This window comes from Homo sapiens, chromosome 14, assembly GCF_000001405.40.
Source record: "Homo sapiens chromosome 14, GRCh38.p14 Primary Assembly".
Lineage (NCBI taxonomy): Eukaryota > Metazoa > Chordata > Mammalia > Primates > Hominidae > Homo > Homo sapiens.
The window spans coordinates 63,247,945-63,268,422 of NC_000014.9; the positions used below are offsets into that span (position 1 = coordinate 63,247,945).

Here is a 20,478-nt window from a genome sequence, read left to right on the forward strand (position 1 = left end):
GAAACGCCTTATAAAACCATCAGATCTCATGAGACTTATTCACTACCATGAAAACAGTATGGGGGAAACTGCCCCCATAAATCAATTATCACCCACTGGGTCCCTCTCACAACATGTGGGAATTGTGGGAGCTACAGTTCAAGATGAGATTTGGGTGGGGACACGGCCAAACCATATTAAGTATCATATTAATAAATTAAGATATGGATCTTTGACTAGGTGTGTTAGTCTTGAGTAGTGTATCAAAACATATACATATTTTCTTTTATAATACAGTAATTCTATAAATTCAAATGGGGGCAAAATTTTGATAATTTATGTCAAGGCAAATGCAACTAAAAGAAGTGGAACATTTGTAGAGCTAAAGAAATAATAAAATACTCAAGTTTTGGAACTCCTTGACTTACATGCCTTAAATCTGAGTCAGACTTCCCTAGATACCAGTGTTATGGAAAAAAGAATTTGCTCCCTCCCATCCATTCCACTGCCAGATTTATTATTTATTATAGCTCTTTTCCATTTTAGCTCCCTTTGTCATTCTAAGGTATCCAGAAGGGAATTCCATATTTTACTATTTCGAGTAGATTTCAGAGACAGAAAAAATGATGGGAATTTGGCCCTTAATAGAATGGTCTTTTCTTCTGCAATTATATAAACTCAATACTGATTTATATTTCCTAACATTGCTGTCTTTCCTCTGTTTACCATTCATTTATTTAACAAACATTTATTGGCATGGTGGAGCCACAGAATGAACAAGGCAGACACAGTCCCTTTAACACTACAAGTTACAGGGTTAGTCCTAGCTTCAGATGAAGCTTTAAACATCACTCATATGACATCTTTCAGCCCTGCCTTCTCAGGGTTGCTTCCATTCTCAGATAGATTTCTTTTCACAGTTCCCAGATGGCTCCCAGCAGCTCCTGGAGCTGCCTCCTTACTTATGCACTACTAGTCAGAAAGAGGAACCATTCCCCACTTCCCCCGCATCTCCACCCTCACTCAAAGAAAGGACCTAGACTTGAGTATTGTTGGTCCCAATTGGTCTGACTCAGGTCATGTACCAGTGCCTAAGCAATCAATGTGATCAAGGACATGGGATATACAACAGGTTTAAACTCATCAGAGCCCATTCTTGCAAACAGTCAGAGCCCACTGCATATGGCTGAGAAGCTCAGGGCACTTCTAGGAAAGAAAAGAAGGCATGAAATTGATGCTGGAAGGAACAAGACATGTCCACTGAAGTCCCTGTCCTTACAGAGCAAAAAGCTTCTAAAGAGTTGGCAGAATAATGGGAACTCACCAACCCTACACACACATGAATCATTTCTGATAGATGAGGGCTAACAAGTGCATAGTCTTGGGAATCTTCCCACAGCAACAGGATGCAGTCCAAGTGTTCTGTTAAAAACTACCACCGAGCAGCCAGCATATGCTCAACACTGCTGGCCTCTGGCAGTGATTTAGAGGTGAAACCTTTTGTGTCCAATTAGTCTACGCCTTGACTCATGCAGTGCCTAAGAATTCACCTTTATTTATGAAGTTCAGGGTCTCAGATAAATTTGACAAGAGCTGCTGAAAGTTCAAGTGTTTGCAAGGATATTAGTTTTCTCATTTAATCATAATTTAATTTTGATTAACAAGTGGACCTAGTTAGAGAAAACTGAAAATAGCTCCATTTGAACCTCATGTTAGTAGAAATATTCCTTCTCAATCTTGTTTTCCACCTTGAATGCTGGATTTATTTCTAAGCTTATATGTTATACCTCATCAATCTAATGCTCTAAGTCAGTGGTTCTCATCCTCGGCCACTTGGGGAGCTTTAAGAAATATGAATACCTAGGTCTCAACCCCAAAACATCAATGCCTGGATATCGATAGATTCTGTTGTAATTGGTCCAGGGTGCAACCAAGGTTAAGAACCACTGCTCTTAGTAGAACCACGTTAGAGACAAAGATAATGTCTCCTAGGAAGCATGTCAAATTTGCACAAGCAACAAATTTAAATGCTGTAGCCAGTTAGGAAACAGTTAAAGTTGACCCAGGATTAAATCAAATTTGGAAATAGGGGGAAATGTTCTCCACATGGACAGCAAGTCACCCATTTGTGCATGCTTTTGCCCCAGCTAGACACATCTCCCACATCTCTACTGCTACCACCTGGTCTAAGCTACCATCATCTTTTCCCTGGGCCACTGTAATATGCTCCCAAGCTATAAAATATAAAAGCTCTGCAGGCCATTATCTGCTTACTCCCCTCATTCACTACACTCCAGCCATATTGACCTTTCTTTTTGTTTGTTTGTTTTGTTTTGTTTGAGACAGGGCCTCACTCTGTCATCCAGGCTGGAGTACAGTGGCCCGAACATGGCTCACTGCAGCCTTAACCACCCAGGCTCAAGTGATCCTCCCACCTCCTGAGCAGCTGGAACTACAGGTACATGCCACCACGCCCTGCTAATCTTTGTAATTTTTGTAGAGATAGGGTTTTGCCATGTTGCCCAAGCTGGTCTCAAACTCTTAGGCTCAAGCGATCTGCCCACCTTGGCCTCCCCAAAGTGCTGGGATTACAAGCGTGAGCTACTGCGCCTGGCCTCACATCTTTCCCATCTCAGGACCTCTGTATGTGTTTTTTCCTCTGCCTAGAATGTCCCCCCATACACACACACACAAATACACCAGGACTTTTTTCCACTATGCACACAAACACTGTGCTTGCACACTCAACTTACTGCTCAGGGCTCAGTTTCAATGTCACTTCTTCAAAGGGGTTGTCCCTGACCCCTAATCTAAAGTGAGCCTCTAGAGGCTGGGTGCGGTGGCTCACACCTGTAATTCCAGCACTTTGGGAGACCAAGGTAGGCAGATCACTTGAGGTCAGGAGTTCCAGATCAGCCTCGCCAATATGGAGAAACCCCATCTCTACCAAAAATACAAAAAATTAGCTGGGCGTGATGGCAGGTGCCTGTAATCCCAGCTACTTAGGAGGCTCAGGCAGAAGAATCGCTTGAACCTGAGAGGGAGTGGCTGCAGTGAGCCAAGATTTCACCATTGCACTCCAGCCTGGGCAACAAGTGAAACTCCGTCTCAAAAATAAATAATTAATTAATTAATTTAAAAAATTAAAAAGTTAAAAAAATCAACTGAGCCTCCTGTTTTACATTCCCCTTGAGTCCTGTTTTATATTTTCCTAGCAAGGGGTTATTTGTACAGTATCTGGCTCCCCTTCCAAACTATAAGCTCCCTGAAGGCAAGGATAATTCTGTTTTCTTCACCCATGGATGCCCTAGCACCCAGCTTTGCCCCTGGTCCATAGTAGATTCTCAATACATAATTATTAAGTGTAAAGAAAAGAAGTATGTTTTATTGTACCACTTCCTTAAACTGAAGGACATTGTAAGAAATGGCTTCTGAAGTATATAGCCATAGTTACTCAAGATCACATTTAGAACCTTGTTCACTACATTATTGTAAGTCTTCTCTTTACAAAAACCCATAGAAAAGAATTTTTCACAGTCTCAATTCTAGAAATAGTGTTTTTCCTGAGAGAGGAACACAAGCCTAAGCTTCAACAAGCTCTCTGCAGACAAACCCAAAGAGAAAGGGGAAGGTGCTGAGCAATGCATACCCAGTTACTGCTCCCAGATTTACCAATCAGATGATTCTCTCACTCCACTGGGGGCATTCAAGCCAAGTGTGTTGACCCTAAGTGATTTCCGTCACATGGAAATATTACGTCAAGGGAAAGGAGGTCCTCTCTCCCAAACATCATTGACTTAATAACATTTATTTAGTAAGTATTTTATAAGATAAAGTCTCTATTCATTTTCTACTGCTTCTGTAACAAATTACCACAACTTATTATTATCTTATAATTTTGGAGGTCAAAAGTCCAAAATGTCACAGTGGGTCACGCCTGTAATCCCAGCACTTTGGGAGGCCGAGGCAGGCTGATCACTTGAGGCCAAGAGTTCAAAACCAGCCTGGTCATCATGGCAAAATCCCATCTCTACTAAAAATACAAAACTTAGCCGGGCTTGGTGGTGCACGAGAATCACCCGAACCCAGGAGGCAGAGGTTGCAGTGAGCCGAGATCACGCCACTGTACTCCAGCCTGGGCAACAGAGAGAAACTCTGTCTCAAAAATAAATAAATAAATAGAGTCCAAAATGTGTTTCACTAGACTCAAATCAAGGAGCCAGCAGACCTGCATTCCTACAGGCTCCAGGGGAGAATTCATTCCTTGCCTTTCCCAGTGTCTAGAGGCTGCCTGGCTCATGAGCCCTTCCACAGCACCTCAACCTCTGCTTCTATTCTGACATCATCTTCTCTGACAGGTTCCAGGAACTAGGATGTGGGCATCTTTGGGGGACCATTATTCCACCTACAATAGTTATGTCAAATAATTAGAGGTCTGTGGATAAGCCAAGGTATATATTTATGATGTGATTAAAACCATATCCAAGAACTGTCTACTGATTCAGTATCCGGTATCATCCATTCAGACCAGTTCATGAATTCAAACAGTTCAGCCCAAAGACATGATATAAAATACTTTTCATCCTGAAAAAGTAGCCCAGGGATATTTTCAAAACGTTGTTTTAACCCCAAGAAAAACATCCTTCCTAATCAATAGTCCTCTAGTGTGCAGCTGTGATGAAAGAAGATCTTGTTATTCCTCCTGCCTAGAATTTACTACTATCTTTGTTGTCCCCCAATCCCCCATACCCCTGACTCTCACTCCTAGCCATCTCCTAATCTTCTCCCTCACTCCTCCATGCCTTCCCAAAAAGGCAACAGCATCAGGAAAGGGACATGAAAATGGAATAAGATATATCTCTTTTTTCTTTAAGAGATGGGGTATCATTATGTTGCCCAGGCTATTCACAAACTCCTAGCCTCAAGCAACCCTCCCACTTCGGCCTTCCCAGTAACTGGGACTACAGGCATGAGCCTCCACACCTGATAGAAGCACCTCTTAAGAATAGGAACATGAAGATGAGATCATTTCTAACAGACAAATTACAAAATTCTCTGTAACTATTTAGGTTGGCATTTGGCTGGATTTTTAGACAATTTTTCTAGCTTTCCTTCTAGCCCTGAATCTGTATAGAAATTGTTTATATCACTTGCCTATTCTTTCTTTTCTTATAAACTCTTAAAGATGAAGGCCTCTATCATTCTCAAGGTCATGCAAGGGGTCATTCAATAGATACATGTCTGTTATCGGTCCTGAGCCTAAGGCTGTCATTTGCACATGCCAACTCCTAGTTCCTCCATCTGCTAAAAGTACACTTCCCTGAATGCTTTGAAAGCATATAGGCTTTAGATAATTTTTTTTAGAGGCAGGGTCTTACTCTGTCACCCAGACTGCAGTGCAATGGTGCAATCATAGCTCACTATAACGTCAAACTCCTGGGTTAAAGAATCACCTGCCTCAGCTTCCCAAGTAGCTAATTTTTTTTTTTTTAGAGATGGGGTTTCACTATGTTGCCCAGGCTGTCTCAAACTCCTGGCCTCAAGTGATCCTCCTGCCTTGGCCTCCCAAAGTGCCGGGATTGCAGGCATGAGATACTGTACCTGGCCCCTAGATAAAATTTGAAATCATTTGCTTAGTTATTTTCTTGTATTCATCTAGGACACTTCCCCCTCCTTACCTATCTCTGCTTTCCTCCAGCCATTTCTATTTTTAGGCAGGTTAGCACTTATTGATTTGTAAGGCTACTCCCTTCTTACTGTTTCTAAGATCATATGACAAAAACAACTAGTTACAAATGCCATGGTCAAAGAGCAGAAGATCTGATCCTTGCAGCACAGTCTAAAAGAGAACATTTTTTGTTGACTGGTAGAGGGTCAACCAATGTGATAGTTAAAAACACACACACACTGCTTGAGTTTGTCTCAGGAGGTATGGCTAATATCCATTTATTTTCACTAATTCTTAAGTCTGGAACGTAACTAGCAGGTATGTTCTGTTTTTTTCTCTGTCTCTTCGCTGGGAGTCAGATTTGGAAGCAGAGTCACTGCAGCTCTAGAACTGTCCCTGACAGTGTTCCCAGGCAGCACAGTGGTTGGAGTGATGGTAGAGCCAGCCGCTTGTGGAGGTGGGGGTCAAGGTCTTGAGCTGATCCCCCAGGACCTGAAATTGACAACTGCAATGGCTGCCTTATGTCACACAGGACCGGATCAGCATTGTCTCGGCTGTCAGTGCTGGGAACTGGCCAAACACTCCATCACTGTCTATCTTGGAGTGAGCCCAAGCCATGGGCTCAATAGCCTTCCTTATTTTCTAGAATTGATCAGTTTCAATTCAACAACTGGGTCTCCTGGCATGCACACCAGAAAGTATCACCGTGGCCTTCTGCTATGATTTCCTGGGTGCTGGGAAAGCTACAAGACTCCACAACTCACTTCCAGTCCACCAGATGCTCCTGAGATCCCTAGCAGAGCTTTATCCGTTTGATGTGATCCCCTGAGAAATGTATGTGCTCCTGGGGGAGGGGGGCATTTAAGCCATCCATTCATTCAGCAAACCTCGTTGATTGAATACTCATTACTTGCAAGGCACGGTGCTGGGCCTTAGAGGCTTCTCTTTGCCTGTAAGGAGTTCACAGTCCAGTCAGCTATTAAGCATTTGTAGTAGCTCATTGTGTGGGGGAAAAAAGAAAATTGGATAGATTTTAGTCAAGGAGAAGAGAGAAGCGGGATACCAATTTCCAAGGCTAGGGAGGAGAAAGCAGGGAAAGCGGAGCTCACCCAGAGAAGATAAACATGTGCAACTTCCCCAGCTGCTCCTAAAGCCATGCCCACACAGGCTGCCATGGTAGACAGATGGACAGATGGACAGAGAGCAACAGTGGGTACTTCCACAGGTCCAGAAGCACATCTTTAAAATTATGTCAGAGAACTTCAAAAGGACTCTTGAAGTCCCCATATAGAAGAAAGCACGTTGGGTTTTTATAGCGATCCAAGCTGCTGGGTACAATCTACTGAAATATTGGACTGAACAACAGAAAAGCGGCTCTTTTCCCAGCCTTCTTGGCCCCCATCGCTCACTTCCCTCCCTTTACTCACGCTCTCAAATGTTGAGGCCATGATCCCCTTAATAATGACCCAGGGGAGCAAGAGAAAATTTTCCAAGACCTAAGGTTACTTTGTTATAATTTCATCTCTTTCATCTCTTTTTGGCCAAAGTCCCTTCTACGCCTCAAATCCCCCCCTGAGGTAACCATCAGCCCTCTTGGGAGGTTCTTCCCACAGCAGGTCCCTGCAGCTCTCTGCAGGAATTCATCCGGGACCATGCCCCCACCCTCTTAAGGTCTGGTGACTAGTGATGGGGCAAGGATGAGCACTCCAGCTGCTGTCCTGACCCAGTTGCCTCTCTGCATTTCCTTTGTGGAATACACTGCTCCCTTTATACGTAACTGTCAACCACCTTAGGGGCTCAGAGAAGCTACATTTAAGGGAAGGATGAGAGCCTTGTCTCTTGAAGTGGGGTCTGCAGACCAGTAGCAAGGGCACTACCTAGAAGCTTATTAGAAAAATAGATTCTCAGGACCCACCAGACCATCTGAAATAGAACCTTCACATTCACAAGAACCACCACCACCACCCAGCCCCACCTCCCCCCAGCCTTACCCTCCCCCACTCCATGCTCCTGATTCAAATGCACTTGTGATGGCAGCAGGAGGAGAAAACAGCTCCAGCCCTGCTTGCCGCCCTGTCTCACACTCAACTGAAGGGCCACCAATCCAGGTGTGAGCTTTCCTATCTCTGTTTTGGAGCCACACATTTCTTGCAGCCTTAAGAAGAGGCTCTGGCCTTGACTTCACCAAGAATGCCAACTCTACCATGAACAGAAGGATATTCTGTGTCACTGGGGCATTCGCAAATCATTATGGCACCTTTATCCTTTTTTTTTTACCTTTTTTAAGAGACAGGGTCTCACTCTGTTGCCTAGGCTGGAGTGCATGGAGTGCAGTGGCCCAGTAGTAGCTCACTGCAGTCTCCAACTCCCGGGCTCAAGCAATACTCCTGCCTTAGCCTCCCAAGTCGCTAAGAGTACAGGCACGTGCCACCTGGCTAACTGTTTTTTGTTGTTGTTGTTGTTTGCTTGTTTTTTTGGTAGAGACAAGGTCTTGCTAGTTGCCCAGGCTCTTCTTGAATTCCTGGGCTCAAGAAGCGATCCTCCTGCTTTGGCCTTCTGAAGCACCAGGATTACAGGTGTGAGCTACCATGCCTGGCCACGTGTTTATCCCTTATTCCTCAACCACATGCTTCCATAGCTCATCCCTGTGTCACTTACTCCCTGCACTATATGCCAACCGGGGGCCGGCATCAGATCTCTGTGACTAAAAATATTCTTTTATTTATTATCCATCTGTTGAATCCCTATAGTGGGCCAAATACTCTGCTAGACATTTGTCCTTTAAGCAAGAGCTTGTGGATCAGAGTGCACAGTCCCACTGTGTAGCCCTCATTAGAAATTTGTGATTGGAGGGGAGGGAGAGGCGTAAGCTTCACAAGATAGGGATGCCAGAGCGACAGCAAAGGTAGTCAGTATGCTACTGCAGCTCACCCCAATCATACTCACACGTGGCTCTTCTGTAACATCCTTTGTCTCTTGGCCAGTCCCTTCTTGGAGGGCAGGGCTCAGTAATGTACCAGTCCCCCCAGGAAAGAATAGGCTGGACCGAAGTGACAAGAGTCTCTTGGCTGGGTGCAGTAGCTCACGCCTGTAATCCTAACACTTTGGCAGGCCGAGGCAGGCAGATCACGAGGTCGGGAGTTTAAGACTAGCCTGGCCAACATGGTGAAACCCTGTCTCTACTAAAAATACCAAAAAATGGCCAGGCGTGGTGGCTCACGCCTGTAGTCCCAAAACTTTGGGAGGTCGAGGCAGGCGGGTCATGAGGTCAGAAGTTTGAGGCCAGCCTGACGAACATGGTGAAACTCTGTCTCTACTAACAATACAAAAATTAGCCAGGCATGGTGGCATGCACCTGTAGTCCCAGCTACTCAGGAGTCTGAGGCAGGAGAATCACTTGAACCCGGGAGGTGGAAGTTGCAGTGAGCCAAGATTGCACCACTGCACTCCAGCCTGGGTGATAGAGCGTGACTCTGTCCCAAAAAAAAAAGAAAAAATTAGCCAGGCATGGTGGCACATGCCTGTAGTCCCAGCTACTAAGGGGGCTGAGGCAGGAGAATTGTTTAAAACCAGGAGCTGGAGGTTGCAGTGAGACGAAATCGCACCACTGTACTCCAGCCTGGGTGACACAGTGAGACTGTCTCCAAAAAAAAAAAAAAAAAAAAAAGAGTCTCTTTACCAGCTCACCCCGACCCAGTCCCCAGCATCCCTGACCCCTATCCACTCAAGAGCCAAGCCCAGCTCAGGCTGAGTTGCCCTTCCAGGCAGAGCCAGCTTAGACAAGAAGTTTAACAATCCTCCAGAATTCATTTGGGTTTTCCCAGATGAAGGGTCATAGGTCAAGACTGATGGAAGCAGAGAGAGGCCACAGGTCAGAAAGTTATCTGAGCAACGAGGTCAGGTTAGGGCAACAATGAAGATACCGTGGAAGCTGTGAGCCAGGCCCGAACAGCCTAGGAAACCAGACTGAACCAGCCCCTTCTTCTCAGGAGGTGCTTTCAAAGATGGATTCAGGTTACAGTAGCCCACGGCTCCCTACATCCTCCTTCCTTCCTCACCATATTCCTTCCCCACCCACCCCATCCTTCTCCCCTGCAAATATGACTTTTTTCCCCTCCTCTGATTTTTTTTTTCACAAGGCTGTCATTTCTCTGCAGTTACTGGCAAAGCCACTGAATATCACCCCTCCCCAGCCTTTCTCCCGTGCCAGGTCCTGAATACCTTGCTCCACGGGGACAGAGGAGGGGAGGTGATTTCACATCCCTCCATCCAGGGGAAGTCTCAACCCCTCATCCACAGGGCTCCCTGGCACAACCTCACTTTGCCTCTAACCCATTAGTGACTGACTCCAAGAGGGCTATCATCTGGCTCACACCTGTAATCCCAGCACTTTGCGAGGCCGAGGCGGGTGGATCACCTGAGGTCAGGAGTTCAAGACCAGCCTAGCCAACATGGTGAAACTCCATCTCTACTAAAAATACCAAAAATAAGCCAGGCTCAGTGGCGGGCGCCTGTCATCCCAGCTACTCAGGAGTCTGAGACAGGAGAATCGCTTGAACCCGGGAGGTGGAGGTTGCAGTGAGCCAAGATCACGCCATTGCACTCCAGCCTGGGCAACAAGAGTGAAACTCTGTCCCAAAAAAAAAAAAAAAAAAAAGGGCTATCATCTTATTTCTAATTCCCTTTCCTATCCTGGAGCCTTTAACCTTCTGGTCTAATAGAGATTGCAGTTTCAGCCACCCATGCTAGCCTTGACAGTGTCATACTTTACGCAGCTGAGCATCTACAGGTTCCAAGAGAAAGATATGAGGTTAGTATAATAAGAGAGTTTAGCAAATAACCCCTTGAACTGTTTAAAATATATATATATATATAGTATTATAAATGTTCTATGTTGGGACTACAAGAAAAAGTATTAAATTATAAAAGTTTATCATCATTCCCCTTCTATTTTCCCCTCCTTTGACTGAGGAGAGAAAGCACCCTTGGCCACCCAGCTTCCCTCTCCCCAACAGCCCAAAGGAGAGTATGAGGGTACCAGCCATGCCCTGGGCTTTCCTGAGTTGCCAGAAAGGAGACTAAACCCTTTACACAGGCATGCTGTTAAAGAGGGTAGAAGCAAAGCTTCAAGGCTGTGGCAGGCCATGAAAAGTTCTGAGAAGAAGGTGGTTTTAAGAAGCAGTGCTATGGTTCAGGATTTGAATCCACTCTGGTGTCTTTATCTTTCAGGTGAGATCAGAATGGTTTACAAGCATTTTTGGCTGCAGGTACTGTGTGTTTCCTTGTATGTGAAGCCACCATGAGAATGTACCACATGGTTCCCATTTATATTTGAGTTGCATTTTTTAAATGCTTTGTTTTGTTTTGAGATGGAGTCTCACTCTGTTGCCCAGGCTGGAGTGCGGTGGCATGATCTTGGCTCGCAGCAACCTCCGCCTCCCAGGTTCAAGCAATTCTCTTGCCTCAGCCTCCTAAATGGCTGGAATTACAGGTGCGTGCCACCACGCCTGGCTAATTTTTGTATTTCTAGTAGAGATAGGATTTTGCCATGTTGGCCAGGCTGGTCTCAAACTCCTGACCTCATGATCCACCCTCCTCAGCCTTAAATGCTTTTAAATGCACAGAAATTCTAGTGAATTAATTGTACCTTACCTAAAACTGGGCAGAAACACATCAGCAAAGCCAAGAATAAAAATTCAAATCCTCAGATTGCTAATCCAGTGAACCTACTGACCCCAGGAGCCAAATATGCACAAGGCATCTTTCTATCTTTCAGTGACAACGCATAACATAGGTTCTGAAAGGAGTCAACATTAAGTGCATCCTTTCACCAGCTTTGAAACTCTCCTTAAGAGGAGTAGCTAGCCATGCACTTTATGTTGCTGATAAGCATCCCAAAAATTATATTTTTATTTGTAGGTGCTTTGAAGGAAAACAATTAGGAAAAATATGTGAACAAGGACAGAGAAGTGGTAGACTTCTTACCTTATACAAATTCTGAGAACATACTTAATAATAAAGGTAACAGTGAAAGATGGTCTTGCATATACTTATTGCAGAAAGGATCCAACCGCTGTTTTATCGCAAATTATCATATATACAATCCTCCCCAATCATAATTAACCATCAAATGTGAATCAGCAGACATGAATATTTCTTGACATATATTAAGAAATAAAAAATAAGGTTACGTTATTTTTATTTGAAAAGAACCTATGTTTCGTTACCTAAAAAGAACCCATATTCTGGCTGGCGATATTAGAAAAAGATAAATGAAATAAATAAAGGGAAAAACCACAAATACATAAAATTCTAGGACTGAATAACAAAGAGACAGGCAAGTAAATATAATCTTAGGATGACAACCATGCACCAAAGTAGAAAACAGAGAAAAACAGCTTAATGGTCTCCAAATTATATTGTAATCATATGGAAAAGAAGTTATTGAGAGCAGAAACACACACTAAATATTCACTTGGCTAGTTTATCTCACTATACCTAGACATTGTCAATAAAGGGCTATATTTAGAACCTAATTTACTATGTTGTCTTTATAGCTCATATATTTCTTTCAGTTTACAACTAATACATTTTGGCAAATTCCCACATTCTCAAATGCACAATATTTTCTTGGTACCTTTGGAAAGCAAGTATAGGTAGAGCATTAGTGGTTCATCATAGTTTTCTGAAAAAGATGAGTTGCTCTGCAATACACAGTTTATAAACCTCCACTGCAGCAGACCTATTTATCACACGTTCTACTCGTAAAATTATAAGCTTGGTCCTACAGCCTAAAATAAATCTGGATAAGCCTAAGACGAAAGCTTCTGAGAGTCAATCTAGGAGAAATGATAGAATTTAAGTGATGGGAGGTAAGTTAAATGACATTTAATCCAATCTGTATATACATCAACAACAGCACAATAACCATGATTGCTGAGCATCCAAATACTAGTTTTTCTAACTGTTTTACATGTTCATGATAGCAAAGAATGGAAAAAATAAAGTGTTTTCTGTGGTTATTTTACATATACATGTAGAATTTTATCTCCTGCTATCTGCACATTATATCCTGAATATTTTACCACATTCCCCATTATTTTTTAAAAGGTTCCATCTTAAGGCTGCTCCGTAACTGTTAAGGACCAATCCCTGATTGTTGAGTGTGTAAATGGTTTCCAACTGTTAGCTACTATAAACACTTTGATGACGAATAGACTTACATATACACATTGTTGTACACATGTACAGGTTTTTTTTTTTTACCATAATTACCAAATGCCCTCTTGATATAAATACCTGATAGTACTTATATCAACACTACATTAGCTTTTATTCTGTCATGGGGGATACACTGCAGAAATAAGACTGCCGAGTCAAATGTGAAAAAGATGTTTCCTGTTTAGGCTTTGATCTATATTGCCAAATGGCTTTCCAAAAAAATGAATCCATAAATTTGCATTTTCTCCAGCAGTGTGAAGTGTCCACATTCACCAGCACTGGGTATTTCTTCTCTTCGTCATTGCCAATTTGAATGACCCAAGGTTGTATCTCTCTTTAATTTAAATTGTTTTCACTCCAATGTTAATTTGCCCTTTATATTTATTTCTTTGTAAATTGTCTATATTCTTTCTTTTTTTCTTTTGGGTTAATCCTTATTGATTAGAAAACCTGTTTATGTATCAAAGATATAATCTTCTTTGACCCTCATATATTGTAACCATTTTTCCTGGTGTATTTACCTTTCTTTTTGATAACATCAAAAGTTATCTTTTCTATAGGACAGTAATCAGTTTTCTATTGAACCTAACCACCTATGCTAACATTGCCTTTTTTCTTTTTTTTCCTTTTTTTTGAGACAGAGTCTTACTCTGTTACCCAAGCTCTGGAGTGAAGTGCCAAAAACATGGCTCACTGCAACCTTGATCTCCTGGGATCAAGCCATCCTCCCACCTCAGCCTCCCAAGTAGCTGGGGCTACTTGATACACACCACCATGCCCAGCTAATTTTTTTTTTTTTTTCATGTTTTGTAGAGATGGGGTCTCACTTTGTTTCCCAGGCTGGTCTCAAACTCTTGAGCTTAAGCAATCCTCCTGCCTCAGCCTCCCAAAGTGCTGCAATTACAGGCATGAGCCACTGCACTTAGCCTAACATTGCTTTTTAAATATTATAAATGCCTAGTTCTTCAAAATGCTCTTTGAACAAGATTTACCATCTTACCGGTTCACTCACCAATGAGTTAATAAATCTTTGACGTGCTCATCCTATATTCGCATGAAAGCTGTGTTTTTAACTTTCCTAAAATTATATTTCTCGCTATATCCAGAATCTAGTGTTTCTTCCTCCAACAAAGCAGCTTTGTGGTACTACATACACCACAGTCAGGCATGCCTCATTCTAACTAGCAAACACAGTACACTAGACACAATAATGCAGATAGCTGGTTATGTGCTAGCAACTGAACGGCACTTGGAGGCGTCCCTATAACTGACCTGACATTTCCAACATTTCTCTTGAAAGCCATCTTATAGTCATCATATTGACTTCAAAAGACCACTCTCGGCAGCTGAGACAGCCAACCCAATGAGGAAGGGGCTTTGATGGTTTACAGGGCATGAACGACACTTCCTCATCCAGATTTGCAGAACACACACTGTTTTGTGAGATGACTGAAATGCTAAGGGAAGTAGACGTAAGTTCTACCTGAGCTATTTTCTCTCTGGGTGGAACTCAAGACAGCAAGACCAGGACTTAGACTTCATTAGCATCTCATACCAAGTCACAAAATTAACCACTCCAATTCACTCAAAGAAGAAAGACAAGAGAGTAAAGAGTTTAATGGATTTGGGGGAAAGGACCTTCATTTTACATACTTAACAGGTCACTGACAACTTTTCACACTTTATTGAGAGAACCCTCTGAGCCATTAGCAGGTCATTTGACCTACTCTCTTTAAAACCTCTCTAAGCTCAGAAAGCAACACTAATAGCTCCAGGAATAGAAGGTGATCTGAGATTTTAGTCTGACCACTGTCTGCCAGGCAGATTTGCTGGCTAGAGGCACTTCCCAGCAGTTCCAATCTTGCCAGGAGCTTCAAGCTGCCCCTCCGTACATTTCGAAGAACTTTATTCTGCCCCTGGTGCTGTATATCTGCACTGTGTATTCAGCATCTATTATGTATGCCAGGAACTGGCTGTGTACTCTGGGGTATACTGGGCATGGAGACTCTGCCCTCAAGGATCTTCCTGTCCAGTGGGGAATATCAGACAGATCTAAATACCTATTATAGGGTAGAAAATGACTAGTAATTCACAAATATTAAGATCACACCATGTGCCAGTTAATGTGCACTGAGTATTCAGTGGAGAGCAAGACAGGCTAGTCCTTGTCCTTAGAATGGGTTCAGTAAGCATTTGCTGAAAGAGGAAAAATAACAGTCGTTTAGTACCCACCATAGGTCAGACTATGTTCCAGGCATTTTCTCGTTTAATTTCCTTCTCACAAGTACTTTCTTTGGTAGGTGATGTTATCCCCCATTTTTAATAGATAAGGAAAGAGGGGCTCAGAGATGGTAGGTGACTTTCTCAAGGTCATTACAGTGATGAATAGCAATGATAGGATTCGAATACAGAACTATCTGACTTGAAAGATCCTGCTCTTTGAACCTCACTATGTTTACCATTAGCATTTTATGACAATAGCTTCCTTCTGTGCAGGTGTGACTGACTGATTTCCAAATTAAGAAGCCTCATAGGACACAGGCTGGCAAGCAATAAGGCATCCACTGCTAGTCCAAGATAAGGACTCACGAAGCCATGACCCGTATAACCCTCAATGTTTGATTGACATTTGATCTATCTCTGGCTGTCCCTTGACATCCTCTGGCATAAACTGTGTGATCTACTTATCTTCCTTCTGATAGAACGAGAGAATAAAAGGGCCGAGAAGAGGAAATGAAAAGTTAAGGGCACAAGCTCTGCCCCCTCTTTTTAGGATTCCTCCAGCAGTACTGGCCCCACACACAGACAGACTAGACAGCCACTACACAGCAAAGCTGAACATCCAACATGGCTTCCACACCCATAATGGCATCCTCCCTTCCCCCACCATTTTGCCTTAACTCAAGGAAATTATTTTAAGTCATTCTCTTTTACTCATTTTGAGGAAAAGAATAATTCAGGACTTCAAAGCTTAACAAAGCCATCAGAATGAAGCCTCAGTTAGTGAGCCAGGGCAGCTCCACCCTGTGTGCCTACCTTCTTGGCATCATCTTCCCCAGTGCACCCTGGGCAGCTCAGGACCACAGCTGTTCCTCCCCCAGTGCACCCTGGGTAGCTCTTGGCCATCCTCAGGAACTCAGCTCAGACACCCCCTCCTCCAGAAAGCCTTTTCTTTTTTTTTTTAATTTCAACTTTTATTTTAGATTCAGGGAGTACATCTGTAGGTTTGTTCCATGGGTATCGTGAATGACACTGAGGTTTGGGGTGTGATAGTACCGATCACCTGAGTACTATGCTTACTACATACCCAGGTAGTAAGCATAGTACCCAATAGTTAGTTTTTCAACCCATCCTTCCCTTTCTCCCTCCCCACTCTAGTAGTCCCCACTGTCTATTGTCGCCATCTTTGTGTCCATGAGTACCCAATGTTCAGTTCCCACTTATGAGAACATGCAGTATTTGGTTTTCTGTTTCTGCATTAATTAGCTTATGATAATGGCCTCCAGCTGCATCCATGTTGCTACAAAGAACATGATTTTATTCTTTTTATGGCTACATAGTATTCCATGAGGTATATGCACAAGGCTTTCTTTATCCAATCCATCCTGGATGGACACCTGGATTGATTTCATGTATTTGCTATTGTGAATAGTGCTACAATGGACATACAAGTGCATATGTCTTTTTGGGAGAACAGTTTTTTGGTCTTTGGTTTTTTTGGATATATACCCAGTAATGGGATTGCTAGGTCAAATGGTAGTTTTAAGTTCTTTGAGAAATATCCAAACTGCTTTCCATGATGGCTGAACTAATTTACATTTCCACTAATAGTGTATAAGGTTTCCCTTTTCTCCACAGTCTGACCAGCATCAGTTGTTTTTTGACTTTTCAGTAATAGCCATTCTGACTGGTGTGAGATAGTATTTTACTATAGTTTTGATTTGCATTTCTCTGGTGATTAGTGATGTGGAACATTTTTTCATAAACATGTTGGCCACTTGTATGTCTTCTTTTGAGAAGTATCTGTTCATGTCTTTATTAAAAAGTTTTTTGGTTTTTGCTTCTTGAATTAAATTCCTTATAGATTCTGAATATTATACCTCTGTCAGATGTGTGGTTTGTGAATATTTGCTCCCATTCTATAGGTTGTCTGATTACTCTGTTGATAGTTTGTTTTGTTTTGTTTTTGTTTTGCTGTGCAGAAGATCTGGAGTTTAATTAGGTTCCACTTGTCCATTTTTGTTTTGGTTGCAATTGCTTTTGAGGACCTAGTCATAATATCTTTCTCAAGGCCAATGTTCAAAATGGTGTTTCCTAGGTTTTATTCTAGAATTCTGATAGTTTGAGGTCTTATATTTAAATCTTTAATTCATCTTAACTTCAGTATATGGTGAAAGGTAAGGGTCCAGTTTCATTCTTCTGCATATGGCTAGCCAGCTATCCCAGCACCATTTATTGAGTAGAGTGTCTTTTCTCTATCTCTTATTTTTGTAAACTTTATCAAACATCAGATGGCTGTGGCTGTGCAGTTTTATTTCTGGGTTCTCTATTTTGTTCCACTGGTCTATGTGTCTGTTTTTGTACCAGTACCACACTGTTTTGTTTACTGTAGCCATGTAGTATAGTTTGAAGTAGGGTAATGTAATACCTTTGGCTTTGTTCTTTTTGCTTAGAATTGCTTTAGCTATTCAGGTTCTTTTTTGATTCCACATGAAATTTAGAATAGTATTTCCTAATTCTGTAAAAATGACATTGGTAGTATCAATGATAAAAAGTCAAACTTTGTAAAATATTTGAAGAGATTTATTCTGAGCCAAATATAAAAACCATGACCCATGACACAGCCCCAGGAGGTCCTGAGAACATGTCCCCAAGATGGTTGGTTACAGCTTGATTTTATGCATTTTAGGGGGGGACAGAAGTTACAGAGACATAAATCAGTACATGTAAGGTGTACGTTGGTTAGGCCTGGAAAGGCCAAGGGCTTCCAAGTCATAGGTGGATTTAAACATTTCCTGACTGGCAATTGGTTGAAAGGGTTAAGCTCTGTCTGAAAAGTTGAAATCAACAGAAATAAATGTTTCTAGTTAAGATAAGGGGAGTTGCAGAAACCAAGGTTCTGCAACCTATCTATATAATATATAGGTAGATAGTTATATAGATGAAGCCTCTGGGTAGCCGGCTTCAGAGAGAACAAACGGTAAGCGTCTCTTGTCAGACCCTGAAAGTGCCAGACTCTTAGTTAAATCTCTCCTGGATCAGGAAAAGACATGGAAAGGAAAAGGAATTTTCTATGGACTGTAGACAAGAGACAGTTTTTCAAGGCCATTTCAAAATATCTCAAAGATATTTTAGGGGAAAATACTTTGGTTTCTTTCAAGGCTTGTTCTCTTTCATGTGATGCTATACTAGAGTCAGGTTGCAATTTGGTATCTTATTACTACAGAGCCTGTTTTGTCAGTCACAAGACCTCTGTTTTCATGTTAATGCTGGTCAGCTGTGCCTAAATTCCAAAGGGAGGAGAGTATGATGAGGCATGTCCCACCCAGCCCCGCTTCCCATCATAGCCTGAACTAGTTTTTCAGGTTTACTTTGGAATGCCCTTAACCAAGAGGAGGGTTCCATTCAGTCAGTTGGGGTGCTTAGAATTTTGTTTTTGGTTTACAGTAGTTTGATAGGAAGGCTGTTGAATCTGTATTGCTTTGGGCAGTATGGCCATTCTAACAATGTTGATTCTTCCAATCCATGAGCATGGAATGTTTTTCCATTTGTTTGTATCATCTATAATTTCTTCCAGCAGTGTTTTATAGTTCTCCTTGTAGAGACATAGGTATTTTATTTTTGTGTGGCTATTGTAAATGGGATTGTGTTCTTGATTTGTCTCTCAGCCTGAATGTTATTGGTGTATAGAAATACTACTGATTTTTGTACATTGATTTTTATATCCTGAACCTTTACTGAAGTCATTTATCAATTCTATGAGCCTTTTGGCAGAGTCTTTATGGTTTTCTAGGTATAGAATCATATTGTCAGCAAAGAAGGATAGTTTGACTTCCTCTTTTCATATTTTGCTCAGAAAGCCTTTTCTGATCCAGCTCCACAGTGTGTGTGTGCAGACATATGCACAGCCAGCAGTGCCCCTGCCGCAAGCCCCCACACCCCTCACACTACCCCTGACACAGCTCATGCCACACTGCACAGTGCCCATGCTTTACCAGGAAACCACTTGTCTCCATGCTCCATGGCAGGAAGAATTGAATCTGGTCTTTCTGCTCCTACCATTGAGTTCAGTCCAGGAACCTGGTAGACTCTTGAAGAAGGAAAGAACAGAGGAAACAGAAAGCTTCGTCCAGACCCTCTGCCCACCACCTCACCTTCCTGTGCTCACTTCAGGCCTGGTGAAATTCCCAGGGATCAAAGCTGCCATAGGAGAAAAGGGTGAGGCCCGAGGAAAAACAGACTGGAGAGAATGACTGAGAAAGCAAGGACTATCTGAACAGGCACTCCAGGGCTCCCATAACATAGGTCAGAGCCATTGCTTAGGAATATTTGCAGTGCCCAGTGGGGCAGTGAGGATGACTCGACTTCTAGGAATCACTCCACAGATGGCCCCGGGCCTGTATGTCATGAGACAATCTAAGGGGTCTCTGGAACAGCTGCCCCTGACCTGCATGTACTGGGCTCACCTAAGGTTCCATGCTGTGATAGCTGGATGTCTCCCTTCATGCCTAATCCATGACAACTTAGTGAACTGGTCATTGAAGAAACCATTTAGGCAGATTTCAGAAACATCTGACTGGGCTCTCTTCTACCATTGTGCATGAAGAGGAAAAATTAAACAGGACAAGAGCTCTGGGCCACACAGCCTCACCTCCATTCCTATTGCTAGCCTGACTTGTGAAAGGAAGTGAAAACATTTAAATGTCCTTCTTCTGTCAGCATGGTAACCGGGGTGGACGGAGCTGGGTGTACCATTTTAAAATACACATTTAACAGCTCATCTGAGCGGCTGCAGCCATGTTATCAAGCTGAACACACGTTGATCTGAGTAGATTATAAAAATAGTTCCCAGTGTCTGGGGACGTAGCGCTTTTAAACAAGTGCTTTGCTTTTCAAAGAACGAGCCATTAAGAAGTTCCTTGTATACATGTAGCCCATGAACCTGAAAAGAAATAAAAGTAAAATCAATACCGAATCAGCAACTCTAAGCAGCAGGCTAGAGAATTTGGCTGTTAGAGATATGGTTATAAAAGATTGCTATTCAGTTTATCTTTCATTTCCTGCACAGCTAATGATAGGAGGAATCAAAAATCATCTTCACACTGAATTTGCACATTTTGACAAGAGAAAAAACTCACACTTTTCTTCATATTTTATTTCCTTTTTCCAAAAAGCGATTCAATTTTTTTTTTGGAAATTTAAATTTGCTCTTTCCTTTCACGAAAAGAATTCTATTACTCCTGCATTCAATCTGTTCAATCTCAGTTTAGTTTCAAGTTGAGACTTTCATTTCCAGACATGTACAGAGTGGTTGCTGTCCCTGTTTTCCTTCTCATTTTCAGGGCACAATTCCTTGGCAAAGTAGTAAGCTACTGAGTTAAGTCAAACTC

At 42.4% G+C, this 20,478-nt stretch overlaps 1 protein-coding gene across 3 annotated transcripts in view; it reads left to right on the top strand.

Moving 5' to 3' along the window:
* Window positions 1-20,478, top strand: part of RHOJ (ras homolog family member J) — an 89,066-nt gene that overhangs the window by 43,502 nt on the left and 25,086 nt on the right. The window lies entirely within an intron of this gene.